The 26,797-nt window shown below is 39.8% G+C and overlaps 3 protein-coding genes across 3 annotated transcripts, besides 1 other annotated feature; all 3 read left to right on the top strand.

Moving 5' to 3' along the window:
* Positions 5,988–6,542: an enhancer, noted in NCBI's record as "H3K27ac-H3K4me1 hESC enhancer chr17:39405666-39406220 (GRCh37/hg19 assembly coordinates)". NCBI's record gives its function as "activates a minimal SCP1, AML or CMV promoter by ChIP-STARR-seq in naive H9 embryonic stem cells {active_cell/tissue: H9 hESC(naive)}" and the evidence as "EXISTENCE:reporter gene assay evidence [ECO:0000049][PMID:30033119]".
* On the top strand, positions 6,261–7,227 carry KRTAP9-4 (keratin associated protein 9-4). The gene has a single exon (NM_033191.3). The coding sequence runs from the start codon at positions 6,295–6,297 to the stop codon at positions 6,757–6,759; it is 465 nt and encodes a 154-aa protein (NP_149461.2). The 5' UTR covers positions 6,261–6,294; the 3' UTR covers positions 6,760–7,227.
* A 4,730-nt stretch (positions 7,228–11,957) lies between these two features.
* On the top strand, positions 11,958–12,938 carry KRTAP9-9 (keratin associated protein 9-9). Its single transcript, NM_030975.2, has one exon. The coding sequence runs from the start codon at positions 11,960–11,962 to the stop codon at positions 12,467–12,469; it is 510 nt and encodes a 169-aa protein (NP_112237.2). The 5' UTR covers positions 11,958–11,959; the 3' UTR covers positions 12,470–12,938.
* Positions 12,939–21,951: 9,013 nt separating this feature from the next.
* Positions 21,952–22,434, top strand: KRTAP9-6 (keratin associated protein 9-6). The gene has a single exon (NM_001277331.1). The coding sequence runs from the start codon at positions 21,952–21,954 to the stop codon at positions 22,432–22,434; it is 483 nt and encodes a 160-aa protein (NP_001264260.1).
* The last annotated feature ends 4,363 nt before the right edge of the window (positions 22,435–26,797 follow it).

A 26,797-nucleotide genomic window follows, 5' to 3' on the forward strand; every position in this document is an offset into this window, starting at 1 on the left:
AGGTACAAGGAGGAGCTGGTACCATTTCTTCTGAAACTATTATAATCAATAGAAAAAGAGGGACTCCTCCCTAACTCATTTTATGAGGCCAGCATCATCCTGATACCAAAGCCTGGCAGAGACACAACAAAAAAAGAGAATTTTCGACCAATATCCCTGATGAACATTGATGCAAAAATCCTCATTAAAATACTGGCAAACTGAATTCAGCAGCACATCAAAAAGCTGATCCAACATGATAAAGTGGGCTTCATCCCTGGGATGCAAGGCTGGTTCAACATATGCAAATCAATAAACATAATCCAGCATATAAGCAGAACCAAAGACAAAACCACGTGATATCTCAATAGATGCAGAAAAGGCCTTTGACAAAATTCAACAACTCCTCATGCTAAAAACTCTCAATAAATTAGGTATTGATGGGACGATCTCAAAATAATAAGAGCTATTTATGACAAACCCACAGCCAATATCATACTGAATGGGCAAAAACTGGAAGCATTCCCTTTGAAAACCGGCACAAGACAGGGATGCCCTCTCTCACCACTCCTATTCAACAGTGTTGGAAGTTCTGGCCAGGGCAATCAGGCAGGAGAAAGAAATAAATGGTATTCAATTAGGAAAAGAGGAAGTCAAATTGTCCCTGTTTGCAGGTGACATGATTGTATATTTAGAAAACCCCATCATCTCAGCCCAAAATCTCCTTAAGCTGATAAGCAACTTCAGCAAAGTCTCAGGATATAAAATCAAAGTGCAAAAATCACAAGCATTGTTATACACCAATAACAGACAAAGAGAGAGCCAAATCATGAAGGAACTCCCATTCACAATTGCTTCAAAGAGAATAAAATACCTAGGAATCCAACTTACAAGGGACGTGAAGGACCTCTTCAAGGAGAACTACAAACCTCTGCTCAATGAAATAAAAGAGGACACAAACAAATGGAAGAACATCCCATGCTCATGGATAGGAAGAATCAATATCATGAAAATGGCCATACTGCCCAGGGTAATTCATAGATTCAATGCCATTCCCATTAAGCTACCAATGACTTTCTTCACAGAATTGGAAAAAACTACTTTAAAGTTCATATGGAACCAAAAAAGGGCCTGCATTGCCAAGACACTCCTAAGCCAAAAGAACAAAGCTGGAGTCATCATGCTACCTAACTTAAAACTATACTAAAAGGCTATAGTAACAAAAACATCATGGTACTGGTACCAAAACAGAGGTATAGACCAATGGAACAGAACAGAGCCCTCAGAAATAATACCACACATCTACAACCATCTGATCTTTGACAAACCTGACAAAAGCAAGAAATGGGGAAAGGATTCCCTATTTAATAAATGGTGCTGGGAAAACTGGCTAGTCATACGTAGAAAGCTGAAACTGGATCCCTTCCTTACACCTTATACAAAAATTAATTTAAGATGGATTAAAGACTTAAATGTTAGACCTAAAACCATAAAAACCCTAGAAGAAAACCTAGGCAATACCATTCAGGACATAGGCATGGGCAAGGACTTCATGTCTAAAACACCAAAAGCAATGGCAATAAAAGCCAAAATTGACAAATGGGATCTAATTAAACTAAAGAACTTCTGCACAGCAAAAGAAACTACCATCAGAGTGAACAGGCAGCCTACAGAATGGGAGAAAATTTTTGAAATCTACTCATCTGACAAAGGGCAAATATCCAGAATCTACAAAGAACTCAAACAAATTTACAAGAAAAAAACAAACCATCCCATCAAAAACTGGATGAAGGATATAAACAGACACTTCTCAAAAGAAGACATTTATGCAGCCAAAAGACACATGAAAAAATGCTCATCATCACTGGCCATCAGAGAAATGCAAATCAAAACCACAATGAGATACCATCTCACACCAGTTAGAATGGCTATCATTAAAAAGTCAGGAAACAACAGGTGCTGGAGAGGATGTGGAGAAATAGGAACACTTTTACACTGTTGGTGGGACTGTAAACTAGTTTAACCATTGTGGAAGACGGTGTGGTGATTCCTCAAGGATCTACAACTAGAAATACCATTTGACCCAGCCATCCCATTACTGGGTATATACCCAAAGGATTATAAATCATGCTGCTATAAAGACACATGCACACGTATGTTTATTGCAGCACTATTCACAATAGCAAAGACTTGGAACCAACCCAAATGTCCATCAATGATAGATGGGATTAAGAAAATGTGACACATATACACCACAGAATACTATGCAGCCATAAAAAAGGATGAGTTCATGTCCTTTGTAGGGACATGGATGAAGCTGGAAACCATCATTCTCAGCAAACTATCGCAAGGACAAAAAACCAAACACCACACATTCTCAGTCATAGGTGGCAATTGAACAATGAGAACCGTTGGACGCAGGAAGGGGAACATCACACACCGGGGCCTATTATGGGGTGAGGGGAGTGGGGAGGGATAGCATTAGGAGATATATCTAATGTAAATAACGAGTTAATGGGTGCAGCACACCATTATGGTGCACGTATACATATGTAACAAACCTGCACATTGTGCACATGTACCCTAGAACTTAAAGTAAAAAAAAAAAAAAAAGAAAGAAAAAAAAAAGAAACAGAAGTCATGATAGACAGAGGTTTTTGCTTCGGGTCCTGAACTGATTCAAGCTAAGCATTCACCCACGGAAGGTTGATTGATACTGGATCTGTGAGAAATACAAAGATTGGGGACCTAGGTCACCTTCTTGGGGCCTCCTACAAGCAGGGGAGTGGTAGAAATACCTCTGATGAGCTAACAATGTAGATTTCCATGACAGATGCCACTTCTGAGACTGTGAATCTAGAATGCTCTGAAGACTTGGCTAAGAGACAACAGCCACTTACTGTCATCATCGTTCAGGGATGAAGTAAAGGAGATGAAAACTAGGACATTCTCTTTGACTAGCATCAGTTATGAAAGATGAATAAGTTCAGTAGGTCTAATGTACAGTAATATGACTATAGTTAAAAACACTTTATCATATACCTGAAATTTACTGAGAAGGTAGATCTTAAATGTTCACACCAGAAAAATAAAAAGGAAATGGTAACTAAGTGACCTAATAAATATGTTATTCACAATCAATATATATATCAGAGCATCACCTTCTATACCTGAAATGTACACAATTTTTGTTTGTCAATTATACCTCAATACAGCTAGAAAAAAACGTATTTAGTTGATCTATTTAATTATTACAAAAATATTCTTATCTTCAACATAAAACTTGGGAATTTTCTGAACAAAAAACACTAATTCTGTGTTGCCTGCTCTATGATGGGTACTGGATAAATGCTTTGTGTACATTATTATTAACTATTTAACAAACTTTCAAAATAGGTATTAATGTTCCCCTTGTAGAGATGAGAAATTTGAGGCTGAGAGAGTTAACGTATTGTCATAGATTAGTTTCTCCCAGAAGAGACTTTGAAGAAAATATTCCAGGGAAACTAGTTTACTGAGAAGTGCAGATCACACCGGTAGGGACTGGGGAAGTGATACAGAAGAAGGCACACTATTAAGTCAGTATCACAGTCACCAACTAAAGCTTAAACTAAAGGGAAAACTATCAGAAATGATGAAAAACACACAGCTAGAATTACCCTACTTCAGGAATGAGGAAGCTAAAGTCTTTATAAATCAGCTCTCCAGAATCATTGGTTGAGTGTTTTTCTCTGTGTTGCATTCACAGGTGGCATGACTTTCTACAGCTGCAATACAAGAGCCCTTAGGCACAGAGATGCAGATTTTGACAGATGGAAATTGATCCAAGCACAGTAACATCCAAGATATATGGGTGCAGTCATGAAAACTTGTCTACAATCTACAATTAGCTCCACTCAAGTCAAATATTTGCTACTTAAATAGGATGGGCAGCCACAACCTCTAGGAGAAGGAAGAAGAGGAAGAGAGGAAGCAGAGGAAGAGAAGGGACAGAAGATGAGAGGAGAAGGAAAGAGAAAAGAAGGAAAGAAAAACAGAAAGACAGAGAGAAGGAAGGAAGGAAAGAAGGAAGGAAGGAAGGACAGGAAGGAGGGAGGGAGGGAAAGGAGGGAGCGGGGAGGAACTGAGGGAGGGGAAGGAAGGAAGGAAGGAAAAAAGAAAGAAAGAAAGATAAAAAGAAAGAAAGAAAGAGAAAGAAAGAAAGAGAGAGAAAGGGAGAGAGAAGGGAAGGGAAGGGAGGGAGGAAGGGAGGAAAAAAGGAAGGAAGGAAGGAAAAGAAAGAAAGAAAAGAAAGAAAGAAAGAAAGAAGAAAGAGGAAGGAAAGGAAAAGAAAGGAGAGGAAGTGAGATATAAAACGAAGGCCAATTAAATAATCTACACTTACTTCTGCTATAATACAGTGCACCTAAGTTTCATAAACTCCGTTAATTACCAAGAGTTCTATTCTCCCTTCACCCCTGGCCAGCACTCTTGTTGGTCTAGATAACTGCTGATAGAGTAGCTCAGAGCATCCTTCCTGAAGGGTCTGAGCCCCTGGTTACTATACCATTGTCCACCGTGATTGTTGTTTTTACTCATTTGTGGTTATCACTAGGCATGGACACACTGTGAGATTCTGCAGTGTTATGGGTTCATTTGCGTCCCTCAAAATTCATATTCAAATAGAATCATCTAAAGTGTTATCTGATAAGACAAGGTCATATTGGAAACAATTAGGCCTCTGATTAAATATGACTGTGTCTATTCACAAGGGAGAAATTCAGAGACAGTATGGATATAATAGAAAAATTATGTCAAACACACTTGGAGATGATAGACTTTGACACGTCAGGGAGAGAGACGTGGAACAGATACTTCCCTCGCAGTCTTCAGATGAAAACAACATTGCCAACACCTTAATTTCAGAAAAGAGGCCTTCAGAACTTTGATAAATAAATTTAAGCCACTTTTTTTCAGTAATTCATCAGGGCAGTGCTAGTAAATTAATATACTCAGTAAATCTCCTGAGCTATAGATATATTCTGCTACACTATATGGCTTGAGGGTAATTATCCCTCACCAAATAGTAACTACTTTCTCTGTCTGCTGCTTTGCTTATATGAAGAGTCCAAAATGACTAGGCGATAAAGATTACTTTTGTTTATGCCAAAGAAATAGAGAAGCAAATACTATACTTTTTATTCACATGAAAACTTTAAAAAACCAAAAATTACCTACAGGATTACAACTGATAGAGTGATTAGCTGTCTTTGGGAATGAGTAAGAGCATATAATTGGGAGAGAATGGAATTAATTTCTATTTCCTAACATAGATGTAATGGGGACACAGATGTATTTACAATATAATACTATATCAAGTTGAAAATTAATAATTTGCATTCTTCTCAAATGAATGGTATACCTAGAAAATGTTTTAAACATGTTAGAACTCCATGATGAATCAGGCATCATCTCAACTCATCTAATTCCTTCATTAAAAAGAAATAGAGAGAGAGAGAGAAGACATGCTGCTTACTGTGCTAGTAACCGGGTTGCGACTAGAGCCACAGCACATGCTGGTTGGCCTGAATCTCAAGCATTTATGCCATAGAGAGTCCTACATTCTCATTCTGGAATCGCCACGCTCACAGACAAGTCAGAATGAATGGTCACTCAGGGCATAGATTACTTGATGCTGTCTAAATCCCAGTGGATTTATCTGCATCCACCTGCTCTCGATCTGCTCTGCCACATGGAACACACTGTGACAAACACCCTCTTCCCAAGTGATGTTCAAAGAACTGAAAGACAGGTGGTGTGGGTTGCACAGAGAGATGCCTGCTAGTCTTGAGTCAGAATTTGGTGGGTGACTAGTCTTGGGCCCAGGCATGGATTCATTTTGTCACTGTAAATATATCAGCATCATGCTTCTCCCCACAGACACTTCCCAGTCTACATACAGCCAAACATGAGGCTGGCCAGAGAGAACTTCCTGAGCCTCCCAGATCAACAGGAACTATCACATGACCAGATGATGGTCAGAACAGGAATGATGCTGATGATGAGATTGCCTTCCTTTTATCTGAAACAAAGTGTCTATGAGTAATTCACAATTAAGAAACAGATTAAACCTTAATCTGTTTAACCTTAAGGAAACAACTACCCTTTGAGAATCACAAACGGACTGGGAAAACAATGTAAACGGAAACAAGGAAAAGTCCTGCTGATTGGTGGAAACTTTGGAGGCCAGGTGTATAAAAGGTCCAGATTGCAAGGGGTCATCAGATTCTGGGAAACTCACCTCTGAACAGAAGCCCACCCTCTACCCCTGACACCATGACCCACTGTTGCTCCCCTTGCTGTCAGCCTACATGCTGCAGGACCACCTGCTGCAGGACCACCTGCTGGAAGCCCACCACTGTGACCACCTGCAGCAGCACACCCTGCTGCCAGCCCTCCTGCTGTGTTTCCAGCTGCTGCCAGCCTTGCTGCCGCCCAACTTGCTGTCAAAACACCTGCTGCCAGCCCACCTGTGTGACCAGCTGCTGCCAGCCTTCCTGCTGCAGCACACCCTGCTGCCAGCCCACCTGCTGTGGGTCCAGCTGTGACCAGAGCAGCTCCTGTGCACCTGTGTACTGCAGAAGAACCTGCTACTACCCCACAACTGTCTGCCTGCCTGGTTGCCTAAACCAGAGCTGTGGCTCCAACTGCTGCCAGCCCTGCTGCCGCCCAGCCTGCTGTGAGACCACTTGCTTCCAGCCCACCTGTGTGTCCAGCTGCTGTCAGCCTTTTTGCTGCTGATCAAGTCCCAAGAGAACCACCATCCTCACACAACAACTTTCTGCTCAACTGACTTATCTTTTGGGGGACTAATTTAATTTGCTGCTGACAGCCACCATGCTCTCACCCAAATTTTTATGAATTCTCTACCTGTTTAAAATCTTGGGAATCTACTTGAGGGAGGGCAGAATACTTCATCCTGATTCTCTTTTTCCTTACACTTTGTGGATCATGTGCCAGCTTCGTGTGTTCTCAATTTTGAGTCATGGTCTCAGCTTTGACTCAAAAGTCAAGAGCTTCATTCTCTGCTTCTAAGGAATTTAGGTTTCTGCAACTGATCAATAATCTTTGCAATCATATTTTTGTTTTCAATATCCTCCTCATGGTTCTTGTATCCTTCTTTCTTCTTTTCATAACTTTGGGTTATGTTTCTGCTACCAGCAGAGATTCTTAGCTATATGTTTCTGAATAAACTCTGAACCATCCTCATCTCATATGGTGTTTTGTTTTATATGAAAGCATTCCTGATATGAGATTTACACACATATCACATACCATAGGTATTATCCAATTTGATTCTCAAAACAGATGGTCGTGTGTTATTACCTCCATTTTTTCAGCTGAGAACAATTTAATGTGTGATGTTATGTAGCTAGTAAAGGGCAGACTCTTGTCCAAGCTGAGGTCCTCTCTTTCTGCCCAAGGACACTTACATTTAACTCTCAATATAGTAGAAATGACATTGGAAGTAAGTATTAGCAAGTCATATACTTGAGTTTTTTTAACAATAGGACAAATAATCTCTTATATTTGCAGATAACGTTTTTGTTTACAAAAAATTCCCAATTTCCCACACCTCAGTGAGAAACAGCTGCGTGATATGGCAGCAGGGACTGCATTTAATGGCTGCCCTGAATGCAGGGAGCTCTTTTTGTCTCAGCCTCTGACCAGCCACTCATTCAATTCATCTACATCAAAAAAAGCTTGGGAATTTATTGTGGACTCATGAGAGAGAGTCTCATCTGAAGAAACTTGTTGTCAATATCATGTAAATAAAATACTTATACAGCCTTCATCTCCTGAATACCTATTGATGAAGTAAATGAAACTAAGTTATTTCTTGTAAAATGCAGACCATACATTTTGCCACATTAAGACAATTTGTCCCCTAATTGTAATGTTATGAGGGAAATTATGTAAGAACAAAGCTGAGAATTGAGAAACTACACAATGGGCATGTAAGACTTGGCACAATCCATAATCTCTGAGCCAAGTAAGGGAATGAAACAGCCTTCTGCATTTTGTGAGGCCAATAGGAAGCATTCAAAGAAATGAAAAACTTGTGTTTCCAGGGAAATCAGAAGAATGTAAGAAAGGAGCAAAGTAGAACTTGTGCATTCATAGAAGTCATAATAGACAGAGGTTAGTGCTTTGGGTCCTGAACCGATGTAAGCTAAGCATTCACCCATGGAAAGATTGATTGATACAGGCTCTGAGAGAAATATAAAAGTTGGGGACCTGGGTCACCTTCTTCGGACCTCCTACCAGCACTGGAGTGCTAGAATTACCTCTGATCAGCTAAAAATGTAGATTTCCATGACAGATGCCAACTTCTGAGACTGTGAATCTAGAATGCTCTGAAGACTTGGCTAAGAGACAACGGCCACTTACTGTGATCATCGTTCAGGGTTGAAGTAAAGGAGATGAAAACTAGGACATTCTCTTTGACTAGCATCATTTATGAAAGATGAATAAGTTCAGCATGTCTACTGTACAGTAATGTGACTATAGTTAATAACACTTTATCATATACCTGAAATTTACCAAGAAGGTAGATCTTAAATGTTCACACCACAAAAATTAAAAGGAAATGGTAGCTTCGTGACCTAATAAACATATTATTCACAAGGAATATATATATCAGAACATCACCTTGTATACCTGAAATAGATACAACTTTTATTTGTCAATTATACCTCAATACAGCTAGGAAAAAAAGTATTTAGTTGATCTAGTTAATTATTACAAAAATATTCCTATCTTCAACATTAAAATTGGTAATTTTCTGAACAAGAAACACTAATATGTTCTGGATTGCCTGCTATAGGATGGGTATTTGCTAAACACTTTGTGTACATTATTATTAACTCTTTAACAAACTTTCAGAATAGGTATTAATATTCCCAGCGTAGAGATAAGAAAATTGAGGCTGAGGGAGTTAACATAATGTCATAGATTAGTTTCTCCCGAAAAGACTTTGAAGAAAAGATTCCAGTGAAACTAGTTTACTGGGAAGTGCAGATCACACCGGTAGGAATTGGGGAAGTGATACAGAAAAGGGTACACTATAAAGTCAGTATCACAGTCACCAACTAAAGCTTAAACTAAAGGGAAAACTATCAGAAATGATGAAAAACACACAGCTAGAATTATCCTACTTCAGGAATGAGGAAGCTAGAGTCTTTATAAATCAGCTCTCCAGAATCATTGGTTGAGTGTTTTTCTCTGTGTTGCATTCACAGGTGGCATGACTTTCTACAGCTGCAATACAAGAGCCCTTGGCCACAGAGATGCGGACTCTGACAGATGGAAATTAATCCAAGCACACTAACATGCAAGATATATGGGCGCACTTACGAAAACTTGTCTGAGATCTACAATTAGCTCCACTCAAGTCAAATCTTTGCTGTTTAAATGTGATGGAGAGCCACAAGCTCTAAAAGAAGGAAGAAGCAGAGGAGAGGAAGAGAAGGAACAGAAGATGAGAGGAGGAAAGAGAAAAGAAACAAAAAAGAAAAAGAGAAGGGAGGAAGAAAGGAAGGAAAAGGAAAGGGAAGGGAAGGGATAAAGGAACCAAAAAAAAACATGAAGGAAGGAAGGAGAAGGGGTGATTGAAGAAAAAGAAAGAAAGAAAAATGAAGAAGGAAACGAAAAGCTGGGGGAGGAAGTGAGATATAAAATGAAGGCCAATGAAATAAGCTACACTTACTGCTGCTATAATACAGTGCACCTGAGATTCATAAGCTCCATTAATTACCACCAGTCCTATTCTCCCTTCACCCCTGGCCAGCACTCTTGTTTGTCTAGATAACTGCCTGAGGGAGTAGCTCAGAGCATCCTTCCTGAAGGGTCTGAGCCCCTGGTTACTATACCACTGTCCGCTGTGATTACTGTTTTTACTGTTTTGTGGTTATCACTGGGCATGGACACACTATGAGATTCTGCAGTGTTATGGGTTAATTTGTGTCCTCCAAAATTCATGTTCAAATAGAATCATTTAAAATGTTATGTGATAAGAAAAGGTCATATTGGAAACAATTAGGCTTCTGATTAAATATGACTGATATCTATACACAAGGGGGAAATTCAGAGACAGTATGCATATAGTAGAAAACTTATGTCAAACACACATGGAAATGATAGACATCTACAAGTCAAGGAGAGAGACCTGGAACAGATACTTCCCTCGCAGGCTTCAGATGAAAACAACATTGCCAACAGCTTAATTCCAGACTAGAGGCCTTTGGAACTGTGAAAAAATAAATTTAAGCCACTTGGTTTGCAGTAATTTACCATGGCACTGCTAGTAAGTTAATATACTCAGTAAATCACCTGAGCTATAGATACATTCTCCTACACTATGTGGCTTGAGGATAATTACCCCTCACCAAATAGTAACTCCTTTCTCTGTCTGCTGCTCTCCTGACATGAAGAGTCCAAAGTGACTATGCAATAACGATTACTTTTGATTATGCTAAAGAAATAGAGAAGCAAATACTGTAATTTTTATTTACATGAATATTTTTTAAAGCCAAAAGTTAGCTATAGGATTACAACTTGACAGAGTGATTAGCTGTCTTTGGGAATGAGTAAGAGGATATAATTGGGAGAGAATGGGATTAATTTCTATTTTCTAACATAGATGTAATGGGGACATAGATGTATTTACAATATAATAATGTATCAAGTTGGAAATTAATAATTTGCATTCCTCTGAAATGAATGGTAATTCCTAGAAAATGTTTTAAACATGTTAGAACTCCACGATGAATCAGGTGTCATCTCAACTCATCTAATTAATTCATTAAATAGAAGGAGAGGCTGTGGATGGTGGCTCATGCCTGTAATATCAGCACTTTGGGAGGCCGAGGCAGGCAGCTCACAAGGTCAGGAGTTCGAGACCAGCCTGACAAATATGGTGAAACCCTCTCTCTACTAAAAATACAAAAATTAGCCGGGCATGGTGGCCGGCATCTGTAGTGGCAGCTACTCGGGAGGCTGAGGCAGGTGAATCCCCTGAATCGAGGAATCAGACGTTGCAGTGAGCCGAGATCACGCCACTGCACTCCAGTCTAGGCGACAGAGAAAGACTCCGTCTAAGAAAGAAAGAGAAGAAATGATACTGACTGTGCTAGTAACCAGGGTTATGGCTAGAGCCACAGCTTATGCACGTTGGCCTGAATCTCAAGCAGTTATGTCATAGAAAGTTCTACATTCTCATCCCGGTAATCCCCACACTCGCAGACAAGTGAGAATGAATGCTCACCCCTGGGCGTAGATTGCTTGATGCTGTCTAAATCCCAGTGGATTTCTCTGCATCCACCTGCTCTCGATCGGCTCTGCCACATGGAACACACTGTGACAGACACCCTCTTCCCAAGTGACGTTCAAATAACTGAAAGACACAGGTGGTGAGGATTGCACAGAGATGCCTGTTAGTCTTGAGTCAGAATTTGGTGGGTGAATTGTCTTGGGCCCAGGCATGGATTCATTTTGTCACCGTAAATATATCAGCATCATGCTTCTCCCCACAGACACTTCCCAGTCTACATACAGCCAACTGTGAGGCTGGGCAGAGAGAATTTCCTGAGCTTCCCAGATCACCAAGAACTATCACATGACTAGATGATGGTCAGAGCAGGAATGATGCTGATGATGAGATGGGCTTCCTTTTATCTGAAAGGAAGTTTCTATGAGTAATTCACAATTAAGAAACAGATTAAACCCTTACTTTCAAAAGATTCATAAGTTTTCAGAAACAATTTCCCCTTTGACAATCCCAAAGGGACTGTGGAAAACAGTGTAAACAGAAACAAGGAAAAGTCCTGCTGATTGGTGGAAACTTTGGAAGCCAGGTGTATAAAAGGTCCAGATTGCAAGGGGTCATCAGATTCTGGGAAACTCACCTCTGAACAGAAACCCACCCTCCACCCCTGACACCATGACCCACTGTTGCTCCCCTTGCTGTCAGCCTACCTGCTGCAGGACCACCTGCTGGAAGCCCACCACTGTGACCACCTGCAGCAGCACACCCTGCTGCCAGCCCTCCTGCTGTGTGTCTAGCTGCTGCCAGCCTTGCTGCCGCCCAGCTTGCTGTCAAAACACCTGCTGCAGGACCACCTGCTGCCAGCCCACCTGTCTGACCAGCTGCTGCCAGCCTTCCTGCTGCAGCACAACCTGCTGCCAGCCCATCTGCTGTGGGTCCAGCTGCTGTGGCCAAACCAGCTGTGGGTCCAGCTGTGGCCAGAGCAGCTCCTGTGCACCTGTGTACTGCAGAAGAACCTGCTACTACCCGACGACTGTCTGCCTGCCTGGTTGCCTCAACCAGAGCTGTGGATCCAGCTGCTGCCAGCCCTGCTGCCGCCCCGCCTGCTGTGAGACCACCTGCTGCAGGACCACTTGCTTCCAGCCCACCTGTGTGTCCAGCTGCTGCCAGCCTTCTTGCTGCTGATCAAGTCCCAAGAGAACAACCATCTTCACACAACAACCTTCTGCTCAACTGACTTATCTTTTGGAGGACTAATTTACCTTACTGCTGACAGCAACCATGTTCTCACCCAAATTTTTATGAATTCTCTGCATATTTAAAATCTTGTGAATCAGCTTGAGGGAGGGCAGAATACTTCATCCTGATTCTCTTTTTCTTATACCTTGTGAATCATGTGCCAGCTTCATGTGTTCTCAATTTTGAGTCATGGTCTCAGCTTTGACTCAAAAGTCAAGAGCTTCATTCTCTTCACTTAAGAAACTTAAGTTGCTGCAAATGATTAAGAATCTTCACAACTATGTTTTCTTTTCAATATACTCATGATTCTTGTATCCTGCTTCCTTCTTTTAATGATCACTTTGGGTTATCTCCCTATAACCAGGGATCTTACCTATATATTTCTTAATAAATAAATTTGGAACTATTATTCATACCATATGGTGATTTGTTTTATTTGAAAACATTCCTGATATGGGATTTACACATATATCACATACCATATGTATTACCCAATTTGATTCTCAAAACAGACAGTCATGTATTATTGCCTCCATTTTCCAACTGGGAAAGTTTTAATGTGTGATGTTATGTAGCTAATAGTGGACAGACTCTGATGCAAGGTTGCGTCTTCTCTTTCTGTCCAAAGACACTTACATTTAACTCTCAATAAAGTAGTAATGACATTGGGATTCAGCACTAGCAAGTTATGCACTTGAGTTTATTTAACAATGGAAATAATAATCTCTAGTATTTGGCAAGAGATAACATTTCAGTTCACAAAAGTCTTCCCAAATTAATTGCCCAGCCGTCAGTGAGCAACAGCTACATGATACAGCAGCAGGGTCTGCATTTAGCAGCTGTCATGAATGCAGGGATCCTATTGGCCTATACCAGCCAATCATTCAATTCACGTGCATCAAAGAAATTTTTTAACCTTTTTTTAAGGTTCAGGGGTACGTGTGCCGGGTTATTTTATAGTTAAATTGTGTGTTGCAGGGTTTGGTGTACAGATTAGTTCTTCACCCAGGTAATAAGCATAATACCTGATAGGCAGTTTTTTGATTCTCATTCTCCTCCCACAGTCCACCCACAGGTAAGTTCCAGTGTCTGTTGTTCCCTTCTTTGTGTTCATATGTATTCAATGTTTGGCCCCCACTCTTATGTGAGAACATGTGTTATTTGGTTTTCTGTTCCTGTGTTAGTTCCCTTGGGATAATGGCCTCCGGCTCCATCTGTGTTGCTGCAAAGGACATCATCTTGTTCTTTTTTTCCTTTTTTTTCTGTATAGTATTCCATGGTGTATATGAAACACATTTTCTTTATCCAGTCTACTTTTGATGTACATTTTAAGTTGACTCTATGTCTTTGCTATTGTGAGTAGTGCTGCAATGAACATACGCATGCATGTGTCTTTATGGTAGAACAATTTATATGCATTTGGGTATATACCCAATAATTGAATTGCTGGGTCAAATATTAATTCTAAGTTCTTTGAGAGATCCCAAAACTGCTTTCCATAATGGTTAAACTAATGTGCAATTCCACCAACAGTGTATAAGTGTTTCTTTTTCTACAAAAACTTGCCAGCATCTTTTATTTTTTGACTTTAATAAGAGCTATTCTGACTTGTGTCAGAGGGCATCTCATTGTGGTTTTAACTTGCATTTCTCTAATCATCAGTGATGTTGATCATTTGTTCATATCCTTTTTGGCCGCTTGAATGTCTTCTTTTGAAAAGTGTCTGTTCGTGTCCTTTGACCACTTTCTAATGAGATTGTTTGGTTTTTGCTTGTAAATTTGTTTAACTTCCTTACAGATTCTGGATATTAGACCTTTGTTGGATAGATAGCTTGCAAATATTCTCTCCCATTCTGTAGGTTGTCTGTTTACTCTGTTGATAGTTTCTTTTGCTGTGCAGAAGCTCTTAAGTTTAATTAGGTCCCATTTGTCAATTTTTTCTCTTTTTACAATTACTTTTGGTGACTTCATCATAAAATCCTTGCCTGGTCCTATGTTTAGAATGGTATTGCCTAGGTTGTCTGCCAGCGTTTTTATAGCCTTAGGTTTTACATGTAAGTTTTTGATCCATCTTGAGTTGATTTTTGTATACCATGTAAGGAAGGGGTCCAGTTTCAATCTTCTGCAAATGACTAGCCAGTTATCTCAGCACCATTTATTAAATCAGGAGTCTTTTCCCCACTGCCTATTTTCATCAACTTTGCTGAAGATCACATGTTGTAGGTGTGCAACATTATTTCTGGGCTCTGTATTCTGTTCCATTGGTCTGTGTGTCTGTTTTTGTACCAGTACCATGCGGTTTTGGTTATTGCAGCCTGTAATGTAGTTTGAAGTCAGATAATGTGATGTCTTCAGCTTTGTTATTTTTGCTTAGGATTGCCTTGGCCATTCAGGCTCTTTTTTGGTTCCATATGAATTGTAAAACATTTTTTTTCTCATTCTGTGAAGGCTGTCATTGGTAGTTTGATAGGAGTGATACTGAATCTGTAAATTGCTTTAGGGAGTATGGCCATTTTAACAATATTGATTCTTTCTACCCATGAGCATAAAATATGTTTCAATTTGTTTGTGTCATCTTTAATTTCTTTGAGCAGTGTTTTGCAATTCTTGTTGCAGAGATCTTTCACCTCCCTGGTTGGCTGTATTCCTAGGTATTTTGTTGTTTTTTGTGGCTATTGTGAAAAGGATTACATTATTGATTTGGCTCTCAACTTGGATGTTGTTGGTGTATAGGAATGCTACTGATTTTTGTACAATAATTTTGTATCCTGAAACTTTGCTGAAGTTGCTAATCAGATCAAGGAGTTTTTGGGTAGAGACAATGAGGTTTTCTGGGTGTAAAATCTTCTTCACACACAGAGATAGTTTAACTTCCACTTTTCCTATCTAGATACCTTTACTTTATTTCTCTTGCCATATTTCTCTGGCTAGGACTTTCATTACTATTTTGAATAGGAGTGGTGAGATATGGCATGTTTGCCTTGTTCTGGTTTTCAAGAGGACACATCAAAAACTTTTCAGAATGCATCATATCCTCATTTGAAGAGACTAATTCCTTCGTATCAAATAAATCAAATTCATATCTGGCCTCCTGCTGAAATTTCATTGAAAGAGCAAAATGGAATTAAGTAATTCCATGTAAAATACAGACCATACCTTATGCAACATTTAGACAATTTGACTTCCTGATAAAAATGTTATCAGGAAAATTAAGTAAGGACAAAGTTTAGGATTGAGACACTATGCAACAGGCACATATGACTTTGCATAATCCATAATCTCTGAGTTATCTAATGGGTTAAAACAATCTTCTATGCTTTATGAGGCCAAAATTAAGCATCTAAAGGAAATAAACATTTGTGTTTTCAGGGAAATCAGAAGAATGTAAGACGGACTGAAAGTAGAAAAATGTGTACATTCATAGAAGTCATGATAGGCAGATGGCTGGTGCTTTTGGCCCTGAACTGATGATGCAACCCAAGCATTCACTAATGGAAGGACTGATTTATACTGGCTCTGAGAGAAATAGAAAAGTCTGGGACCTGGATTACCTTTGTGGGACCTCCTACCAGCATGGGAGTGCTAGAAATACCTCTGATGAGCTAACGATGTAGACTTCCAGGACGGATCCCAACTTCTGAGACTGTGTACCTAGAGTGCTTTGGAGACTTGGCTAAGAGACAAAATCCATTGACTGTGATTCTTCTGGGGTGACAGGGTAAAGGAGATGAAGACCTAAAACATTCACTTTGGCCAAGATCAGGTATGCAAGGTAAATAAGCTCTGCAGACCTAGTGTACAGTAGTGTGGCTGTAGGTAAAAATATTTTATTTTATACCTGAAATGGCAAGTATGTGAGCTAATGAATATGTGAATTAGCTTCACTGTGATGAATATCTCACTATAAATATATATATCAAAACATCACTTTTTATACCTTAAATATATACAATTTTTATTCAATTATACCTCAGTAAAGTTAGTAAAAACCAAATCTAGCAGCACATCAAAAAGCTTATCCACCATGATCAAATTGCTTCATCCCTGGGATGCAAGGCTGGTTCAACATATGCAAATCAATAAACATAATCCATCACATAAACAGAACCAATGATAAAAACCACATGATTATCTCAATAGATGCAGAAAAGGCCTTCGATAAAATTCAACATCCTTCATCTTAAAAACTCTCAATAAACTAGGTATTGATGGAACATATCTCAAAATAATAAGAGCTATTTTTGACAAACCCATAGCCAATATTATACTGAATGGGCAAAAGCTGGAAGCATTCCCTTTGAAAATGGCACAAGACAAGAACGCCCTCTCTCACCACTCCTATTCAACATAGTATTGGAAGTTCTGGCCAGGACAATCAGGCAAAAGAAAGAAATAAAGGCATTCAGATAGGAAGAGAGGAAGTCAAATTGTCTTTGTTTGCAGATGACGTGATTCTATATTTAGAAAACCTCAGTGTCTCATCCTAAAAACTCCTTAAGCTGATAAGCAACTTTAACAAAGTCTCAAGATACAAAATCAATGACAAAAATCACAAGCATTCTTATACACCGATAATAGACAAGCAGAGAGCCAAATCATGAGTGAACTCCCATTCACAATTGCAACAAAGAGAATAAAATACCTAGGAATACAACTTACAAGGGATGTGAAGGACCTCTTCAAGGGAAACTACAAACCACTGCTCAAGGAAATAAGAGGGGACACAAACAAATTGAAAATCATTACATGATCATGGATAGAAAGAATCAATATCATGAAAACGGCCATGCTGCCCGAAGTAATTTATAGATTAAATGCTATTCCCATCAAGCTACCCTTGACTTTCTTCACAAAATTTAAAAAAAAACTACTTTAAATTTCATATGGAACCAAAAAAGAGCCCGTATCACCAAAACAATCCCAAACAAAAGAACAAAGCTGGAGGCATCACGCTACCTGACTTCAAACTATACTACAAGGCAACTGTAACCACAACAGCATGGTACTGGTATCAAAACAGATATATAGACCAATGGAACAGAACTGAGACCTCAGAAATAACACCACACATCTACAACCATCTGATCTTTGACAAACCTGACAAAAACAAGCAATGGGGAAAAGATTCCCTATTTAATAAATGGGGCTGGGAAAACTGGCTAGCCACATGCAGAAAACTGAAAGTGGACCCCTTCATTACACCTTATACAAAAGTTAACTCAAGATGGATTAAAGACTTAAATGTGAAACCCAAAATCATAAAAACCCTAGAAGAAAACCTAGGCAATAACTTTCAGGACATAGACATGGGCAAAGACTTCATGACAAAAATGCCAAAAACTATCACAACAAAAGCCAAAATTGACAAATGGGATCTAATTAAACTAAATAGCTCCTGCACAGCAAAATAAACTATCATCAGAGAGAACACACAACCTACAGAATGGGTGAGAATTTTTGCAATCTACCCATCTGACAAAGGTCTAAAATCCAGAATCTACAAGGAACTTAAACAAGTTTACAAGAAAAACAAACAACCTCATCAAAAAGTGGGCAAAGGATATGAACAGACACTTCTCAAAAGAAGACTTTTATGTGGCCAACAAACATATGAAAAAAAGCTCATCATCATTGATCATTAGAGAAATGCAAATCAAAACCACATTGAGATACCATCTCATGCCAGTCATAATGGTGATTATTAAAAAGTCAGGAAACAATAGATGCTGGAGAGGCTGTGGAGAAATAGGAATGCTTTTACACTGTTGGTGGGATAGTGAATTAGTTCAACCACTGTGTAAGACAGTGTGGCAATTCCTCAAGGATCTAGAACCAGAAAAACCATTTGACTCAGCAATCCTATTACCGGGTATATACTCAAAGGAATATAAATGATTCTACTATAAAAACACATGCACATATATGTTTATTGCAGCAGTATTTACAATAGCAAAGACTTGGAACCAACCCAAATGCCCATCAGTGATAGACTGGATAAAGAAAATGTGGCACATATAAACCATGGAATCCTATGCAGCCATAAAAAACAATGAGTTCATATCCTTTGCAGGGACATGGAAGAAGCTGGAAGCCATCATTCTCAGCAAAGTAACACAGGAGCAGAAAACCAAACACCACATGATCTCACTCATAAGTGGGAGTTGATCAACCAGAACACACAGACACAGGGAGGGGAACATCACACACCAGGGCCTGTTGGGGGGGTCGGGGGCAAGGGGAGGGAGAGCATTAGGACAAATACCTAATGCATGCAGGGCTTAAGACCTAGAGGACAGGTTGATAGGTGCAGCAAACAATCATGGCACATGTATACCTACTCAACAAACCTGCACATTCTGCACATGTGTCCTGGAACTTAAAGTAAAAGAAAAAAAGTTGATCTAGTTAATTATTATAAATATATTCTTATCATCAACATTAAAATTAGTTTAGGAATTTCTGGAGAGAAAAGAAATAATATGTTTTCAGTTGCCTATCATTTGATGGATATTGTGTAAATCTTTTATGTACATTATCATTAATTATTGAAAAAACTTTCAAAGTAGGCATTAGTGTTCTAATTGTAGAGATGAGGAAATTGAGGCTGAGAGATGTAATGTCATAGTTTGGTTTTTCCCAGAAGATACTCTGAGAAAAAGATTCCAATGAATACAGTGTATTAGGAAGGGCAGAACAGGCCAGAAGGGATTGTGGCAGTGATACAGAAAAGGGTATACTATTAAGCCAGTATCACAGAGATCAACTGAAGCTTAAGCTAAAGGGAAATTTTTCAGAAATGATGAAAAACACACAACTTTGAATTCTCAAACTTCAGCAGTGAAGAAGCTAGAGTCTGTATAAATCCACTCTTTAGAATTTTCAGTTGAATATTTTTCTCCCTGTAGTGTGCACAGGTGACATGACTTTCTGTAGTTGCAATACAAGAGCCCTAAGGCACAGAGATGCAGATTCAGGCAGATGGAAATTGGTATGAGCACCCTAAGTTCCATGATATACAGGTATGGTAATGAAGACCTGTCTACAGTAACATTTGCTCCATTCAAGTCCAATCTTTCCTTCTTAAATGTAATGGACAGCCATGAACTCTAGGAGAAAAAGGAGGAGGAGGAAGAGGAGGAACAGAAGGTGAGAGAGGAGGAAAAAACTAGGAAAGATATGGGAAGAAGACAATATACACAGACAGGAAGAAAGGAACGGAGGAAGAAAGAGAGCAAGAGACAGAAGGAAAGAGAGTGAAAAGGAAGGAAGGAATGAAGGAAGGAAGGAAGGAAGGAAGGGGAAGGAAGGAAGGAAAAGGAAAGAAAGAAAGAAAGGGGAGGGGAGGGGTGGGGAGGGGAGGGGAAAGGAAGGGAAGGGAAGGAAGGGAAGGGAAGGGAAGGGAGGGAAGGGAAAAGAAACTACTGCTGTAATAGGGTGCTTCTGAGATTCATAATCTCCATCAGTTTCCGCCAGTTCTATACTCCCTTCATCACTGGCCAGCACTCCTGTTAGTTTAGATAATTGCCTGATGAAGTAGCTCAGAACTTCCTGCCTGATGGGTCTTACCCTCTAGTTACTTACTACACCATTGTCCAACTGTGGTTGCTTTTGTTACTCATTTGTGTTTATCAATGGGCATGGATACACTACGAGATATTCCAAGGTTATGGGTCGAATTGTGTCCCCAAGAACTCATATTCAAATAGGGTCACTTAAATGCAAGATGGTAAGATAAGGTCATATTGGAATAAATTGTGCTTCTGATTCAATGTGACTGGTGTCTGTATAAACAGGGGAAATTCAAACAGGATGCATATAGAGGGAAGATGATGTAAGAGACACATGGAGAAGATAGACATCTACAGGTCAAGGAGAGAGACCTGAAACAGATATTTCCCTCACAGCCCTCAGATGAAAACAACATTGCCAACACCTTTATTTTAGCCTTCAGAACTGTGAGAAAATAAACTTCAGCCACTTGATTTGCCATAGTTTTTAATGGCAGTGTAATGCTTTAATATATATAGTAAATTTCTTGAGTTTCAGATATATTCTCCCTACGCTCTATGGCTTCACGAAAATTATCCCTCATGGAATATTAACTCCTTTATCTACCTGCTGGTCTGCTAACATGAAGGATCCAAAATGAAATGACCAGGTTATAATTGCTGCTTTTGATTATGCCAAAAACACAGTGAAGCAAATTCTATAATTTTTATTTACATAAAAGTCAAAGAAAAAAACAAAACTGACCTACAGGATTAAAACTTGATAGAGTGACTAGCTACCTTTGGAGATAAGTAAAAAGATATAATTTGGAGGGAATGGAATTAATTTCTATTTTGTAAACTGGTAATGGGGACTTAGATGTATTTATAATGTAATATTATATCAAGTTGGAATTCATAATTTGCACTCTTCTGAAATGAATGGTATAATTTAAAAAGTTTTAAACAATGGTAAACCTCAAAGAGGAATCAGATATCATCTCAACTCACCTAATTCCCTCACTGAAAACAGAGAGACAGAGAGAGAGAGAGAGAGAGAGACAGAGACAGAGACAGAGACAGAGACAGAGACAGAGAAATGGCAATGATTGTGCCAGTAACCTGGATTAGGGCTAGAGCCACAGCTCATATTGCTTTGCCTGGACCTCAAGCAGTAATGTCACAGTAATTCCCAGTCCCACATTCTCATGCTGGTAAGCCCCTCAGTCCCAGACAAATCAGGGTGAATGGTCACCGCAGCACGTAGATTGCTTGATGCTTTGTGAATTCCAGTGAACCCCTCCTCTTTCTACGTGTTTGCTTTGGCTCTGCTCTGCCACATAGCACACATTGTGCTGAACACCCTCTTCCCAAGAGGCTTTTATAGAACTGGAAGAGACAGGTAAAGTAGGTTGTACATAGAGAGATGCCTATCAGTCTTGAATCAGACTTTGGTGGGTGAACAGTCTTGGTCCCAAGCATGGATTCAATTCACCACTGTGAATATATCAACATCATGCTTCTCCCCACAGACACTTCCCAGTCTACATACAGCCAAAGGATGAGACTGGGCAGAGAGAACTTCCTGAGCCTCCCCAGTCACCAGGAACTATCACATGACGAGATGCTGGTCAGAGCAGGAACGAAGCTGATGATGAGACTGCCTTCCTTTTATCTGAAACAAAGTTTCTACGAGTAATTTACAATTAAGAAACAGATTAAACCCTTACTTTCCAAAGATTCATAACATTTAGGAAATGACTTCCTCTTTGACAATGCCAAACTGACTATGGAAAACAACTGTAAACAGCAAGAAAGAAAAATCCTGCTGATTGGTGGAAACTTTGGAGGCCACATGTATAAAAGGTCCAGATTGCAAGGGGTCATCAAATCCTGGGAAACTCACCTCTGAACAGAAGCCCACCCTCCACCCCTGACAACATGACCCACTGTTGCTCCCCTGGCTGTCAGCCTACCTGCTGCAGGACCACTTGCTGCAGGACTACCTGCTGGCAGCCCACCATTGTGACCACCTGCAGCAGCACACCCTGCTGCCAGCCCTCCTGCTGTGTGTCCAGCTGCTGCCAGCCTTACTGCCACCCAACTTGCTGTCAAAACACCTGCTGCAGGACCACCTGCTGCCAGCCCACCTGTGTGACCAGCTGCTGCCAGCCTTCCTGCTGCAGCACACCCTGCTACCAGCCCATCTGCTGTGGGTCCAGCTGCTGTGGCCAAACCAGCTGTGGGTCCAGCTGTGGCCAGAGCAGCTCCTGTGCACCTGTGTACTGCAGAAGAACCTGCTACCACCCCACGACTGTCTGCCTGCCTGGTTGCCTCAACCAGAGCTGTGGATCCAGCTGCTGCCAGCCCTGCTACTGCCCAGCCTGCTGTGTGTCCAGCTGCTGCCAGCATTCTTGTTGCTGAGCAGCACCACAGAGGACCATCATCCTCACACAACAACCTTCTGCTCAACTGACCTTTTTTTTCTTTTGAGACGGAGCCTCACTGTCACCCAGGCTGGAGTGCAGTAGCACGCTCTCGGCTCGCTGCAACCTCCATCTTCTGGGTTCAAGTGATTCTCCTGCCTCAGCCTCCTGAGTAGCTGGGATTACATGCCTGTGCCACCACGCCTGGCTAATTTTTTGTATTTTTAGTATTTTTAGTAGTTTTCACCATGTTGATCAGACTTGTCTGGAACTCCTGCCCTCAGGTGATCCACCTGCCTCAGCCTCCCAAAGTGCTGGGATTACAGGTGTGAGCTACCACACCCAGACCCAACTCACTTATCTTTCAGAAGACAGATTTACTTTCAAACTTTACTGATACACAGTATGCTTTCACCAATTTTTTTTATTTCTTTGCCTGTTTAAAATCTTGGGAATCAGCTTGAGGGAGGGCAGAATACTTCATCCTGATTCTTTTTTCCTTACACTTTGTGGATCATGTGCCAGCTTCATGTGTTCTCAATGTGGAGACATGGTCTCCATTCGACTCTAAAGTCAAGAGCTTCATTCTCTCCTTCTAAGAAACTTAGGTTTCTGCAACTGATCAATAATCTTTGCAATCATATTTTTGTTTTCAATTTTGTCCTCATGTTTCTTTTACCCTTCTTTCTTCTTTTCATTGTAACTTTGGGCTATGTCCCTAGTAGCAGGGATTCTTACCTATATATTTCTGAATAAATTCTGAACCATCCTTCATCTCATATGGTGTTTTATTTTACAGAATTGCTGATATGAGATTTACACACATATTGCATGCTATATGTATTATCCAATTTGATTCTGAAAACAGAGTTATTATTATGTATTATTACCTCAATTTTTCAGCTGAGAACAATTTAGTGTGTGATTTTATGTAGCTAATAAAGGACAGACTCTAGTCCAAGGTGAGAGCTTCTCTTTCTGCCCAAGAACACTTACATTTAACTCTCGGTAAAGTAGAAATGATATTGAGACTCAGCAATAGCAAGACATGCACTTGAGTTTATTTAATGTGGGAGGTATAATCTCTCATATTTGCAGACGACATTTCTGTTCACAAAGGTCTTCCCAAATTAGTTTTCCACACCTCAGTGAGTAATAGCTACATGGGATGACAACAGGGACGGCATTTAATAGCTGCCCTGAGTGAGGATCCCTTTTTGTCTCAGTCTTTGACCAGCTATTTATTCAATTAATCTGCATCAGAAAATTTTGAGAATGCATTGTGTCCTCATGAGAGAGGATCTCATTTGGGGATTTTTTTCCTGGTATCACGTAAATAATATTCTTATATGGCTTCCTTCTCCTGAATACCTGTTGACAAAGCAAAAAGAATTTAAGTTATTCCTTCTAAAATATGGACCATACATTAAGCCACATTAAGTCAAATTGTCCCTCAAATCAAAATGTTATTAGGAAAATTAAGTGAAACAAATTTGGGGATTGAGGGACTATGCAATGGGCATGTATGACTTTGTACAAACCATAAAGGTATAAAACAACCTTCTGAGTTTTGTGAGGCAAATAGGAAGCATCTCAAGAAACCAAAAACCTGTGTTTCCAGGGAAATCAGAAGAATTTAAGAAGGAGGAAACGTGGAAGAACTTTCTCATTCATGGAAGTCATGATAGATGGAAAACTGGCGCTTTTGTTCCTGAACTGATGATGCAACTGAAGTATTCAGTCATGGAGGGATTCATTGATACTGGCCCTGAGAGAATTAGAAAAGTTAGGGACCTGGGCCACCTTCTTGGGACCTCCTACCGGCATGGGAGTGGTAGAAATACCTCTGAGGAGCTAACAATGTAGGTTTCCAGGACAGATACCAGCTTCTGAGGTGGTGTATCTAGAATGCTCAGAAGACTCAGCTAAGGGACAAAAGCCACTGACTGTGATAGTTGTTGCATAATGGGGTAAAGAAACTGAAGAACTATCACATTCTCTTTGACCAACATCGGTTATGCAAGATGAGTCAGTTCTGCAGATCTAGTGTACAGCAACGTGACTATAGTTAACAAAAATGCTTTATTTTATACCTGAAATGTGCTAAGAAGGTAGATCTGGAGTGTTGCTAAGAAGGTAGATCTGAAGTGTTTACACCACAAAAATAAAAAGGAAATGGTAACTATGTGAGCTAAGGAATATATGATAATTCACAATAAGTATATACATATCTCAAAACATCACCTCGTACACATTAAATATACACAATTTTATTTTTATTTATCAATTATGCCTCAATAAAGCTAGTAAAGAAAGAAGTGAGTTGATCTGGTTAATTATTATTCATGTATTCTTATCTTCAACATTAAAATTAGGAGTTCTCTGGACAAAAAAAAAACTAATATGTCCTAGGTTGCCTACTATTTAATGGGTATTGATTAAATGCTTTATGAACATTATCATTAATTCTTGAAGAAACATTCAAAGTAGGTATTAATGTTCCCATTGTAGAGATGAGAAAATTGAGTCTGAGAGAGGAAATGTAATATCAGAGTTTGGTTTTCCCATAACAAACTCCAAGAAAAATATTCCAGTGAAAGTAGTTTATTGGAAAGTGCAGATCACACCAGCAGGTATTGGAGAAGTGACACAGAAAAGGGTAGACTATTAAACTAGTATCACAGTGACCAATTAAAGCTTAAACCAAACAAAACACTATTAGAAATAATGAAAAACAAACAAATTAGAATTATCCTACTTCAGGAATGAGGAAGCTAGAGTCTTCACAAACCAGTGCTCTGGAATCATTGGTTGAGTGTTTTTCTCTGTGTGGCACGCACAGGCGACATGACTTTCTGCAGTAACAATACAAGAGCCCATAGGCACACAGATGCAGATTTGGGCAAATGCATATTGGTCTGAGCATACTAAGATCCAAGATATAGGAATGGGATAAGGAAATCCTATCTACAATCTACCATTTGCTCCACACAGACCCAATCTTTGCTTCTTAAGTGTGGTGGGCAGCCACAAACTCTAGAAGAAGGAAGAGGAGGAGGAAAGGAAGAGGAGAAAGAGGAAAAACAGAAAATGAGAGGAAGAAGAAAGATGGAAAAATGAAAGAAAGAGAGAAGAAAGGAAGGAAGGAAAGAAGGGGGGAAGGAAGAAAGGAGGGAAGGAGAGAGGGAAGGAAGAAGGAAAGGAGGGATGGAAGGAAGAAAGGAAGGAGGAAAGAAAGAAAGAAAGAGAGAGAGAGAAGGAAGGCAGGAAGGAGAGAGAGAAAAAGAAGAAAGAGAAAGAAAGAAAGAAAAAGAAAAAGAAAGAAAGAAAGAGAAAGAGAGAGAGGGAGGGAGGGAGGAAGGAAGGAAGGAAAGAAGGAAGGAAGGAAGGAGAAATTAAGAAGCAAAGAAAGGAGGGGGAGAGATATGTAAAATGAAGGCCAATGGAACAAGCAACAGTTACTGCTGCTATAATAGGGTGCACCTGACAGCCATAATCTCCATTAATTATCAAAAGTCTATAGTTCCTTCACCACTTTCCAGAACTTTTACTACTCTAGATAATTTCCGGAAGGAGTAACCCAGATGTTCCTGCCCAAAGGGTCTGAGCCACTAGTTACTGTACCACTGTCCACTGTGATTGCTGTTTTCACTCACTTGTGGTTATCTCTGGGCATGGACACAGTATGAGATTCTCCAGTGTTATGGGTTGAATGAGTCCCCCAAAATTCATATTGAAATGAGGTCATTGAAAACATAATTAGTTAAGATCAGGTCATATTGGAACAAGTTAGGCCCCTGATTCAATAGGACTGATGCCTGTATAGAATGGGGAAGTTCAGACGCCATGTGCATCTAGAAGGAAGATCATGTAAGAGACATATGGAGAAGACAGGCATTTACAAGTCAAGGAGAGACACCTGGAAGAGATGCTTTCCTAACAGTCCTCAGGTAAAAACAACCTTGTCAACACCTTAAATTCAGACTACTAGCCTTCAGAACTGTGAGAAAATAAATTTCAGCCACTTGGTTTGTAGTGGTTTATCATGGCAGTGCTAGTAAATTAACATATTCAGTAAATCTCCTGAGCTACAGATACATTCTCCTACATTCTACGCCTTCAGGATAATTACCCCTCACCAACTCTGTTCTCTGCCTTCTAATCTGCTGACATGAAGAGTGCAAAATGACTAGGCGGTAATTATTACTTGCGATTATGCGAAAGAAATAGAGAAATAAATTTTGTAATTTTTATTCACACAGAAGTAAAAAAGGAAAAGCCAAATTGACCTACAGGGTTACAACTTGATAGAGTGATTAGCGGTTTTGGGGGATGAGTAAGGAAATATAACTGAAAGGGAA

The sequence above is a fragment of the Homo sapiens genome, chromosome 17 (genome assembly GCF_000001405.40).
Source record: "Homo sapiens chromosome 17, GRCh38.p14 Primary Assembly".
Lineage (NCBI taxonomy): Eukaryota > Metazoa > Chordata > Mammalia > Primates > Hominidae > Homo > Homo sapiens.

Bases quoted from the DNA above. Each gene is read 5' to 3' on its own strand.
- KRTAP9-6 (NM_001277331.1), top strand. From the start codon at position 21,952: ATGACCCACTGTTGCTCCCCTGGCTGTCAGCCTACCTGCTGCAGGACC.
- KRTAP9-4 (NM_033191.3), top strand. From the start codon at position 6,295: ATGACCCACTGTTGCTCCCCTTGCTGTCAGCCTACATGCTGCAGGACC.
- KRTAP9-9 (NM_030975.2), top strand. From the start codon at position 11,960: ATGACCCACTGTTGCTCCCCTTGCTGTCAGCCTACCTGCTGCAGGACC.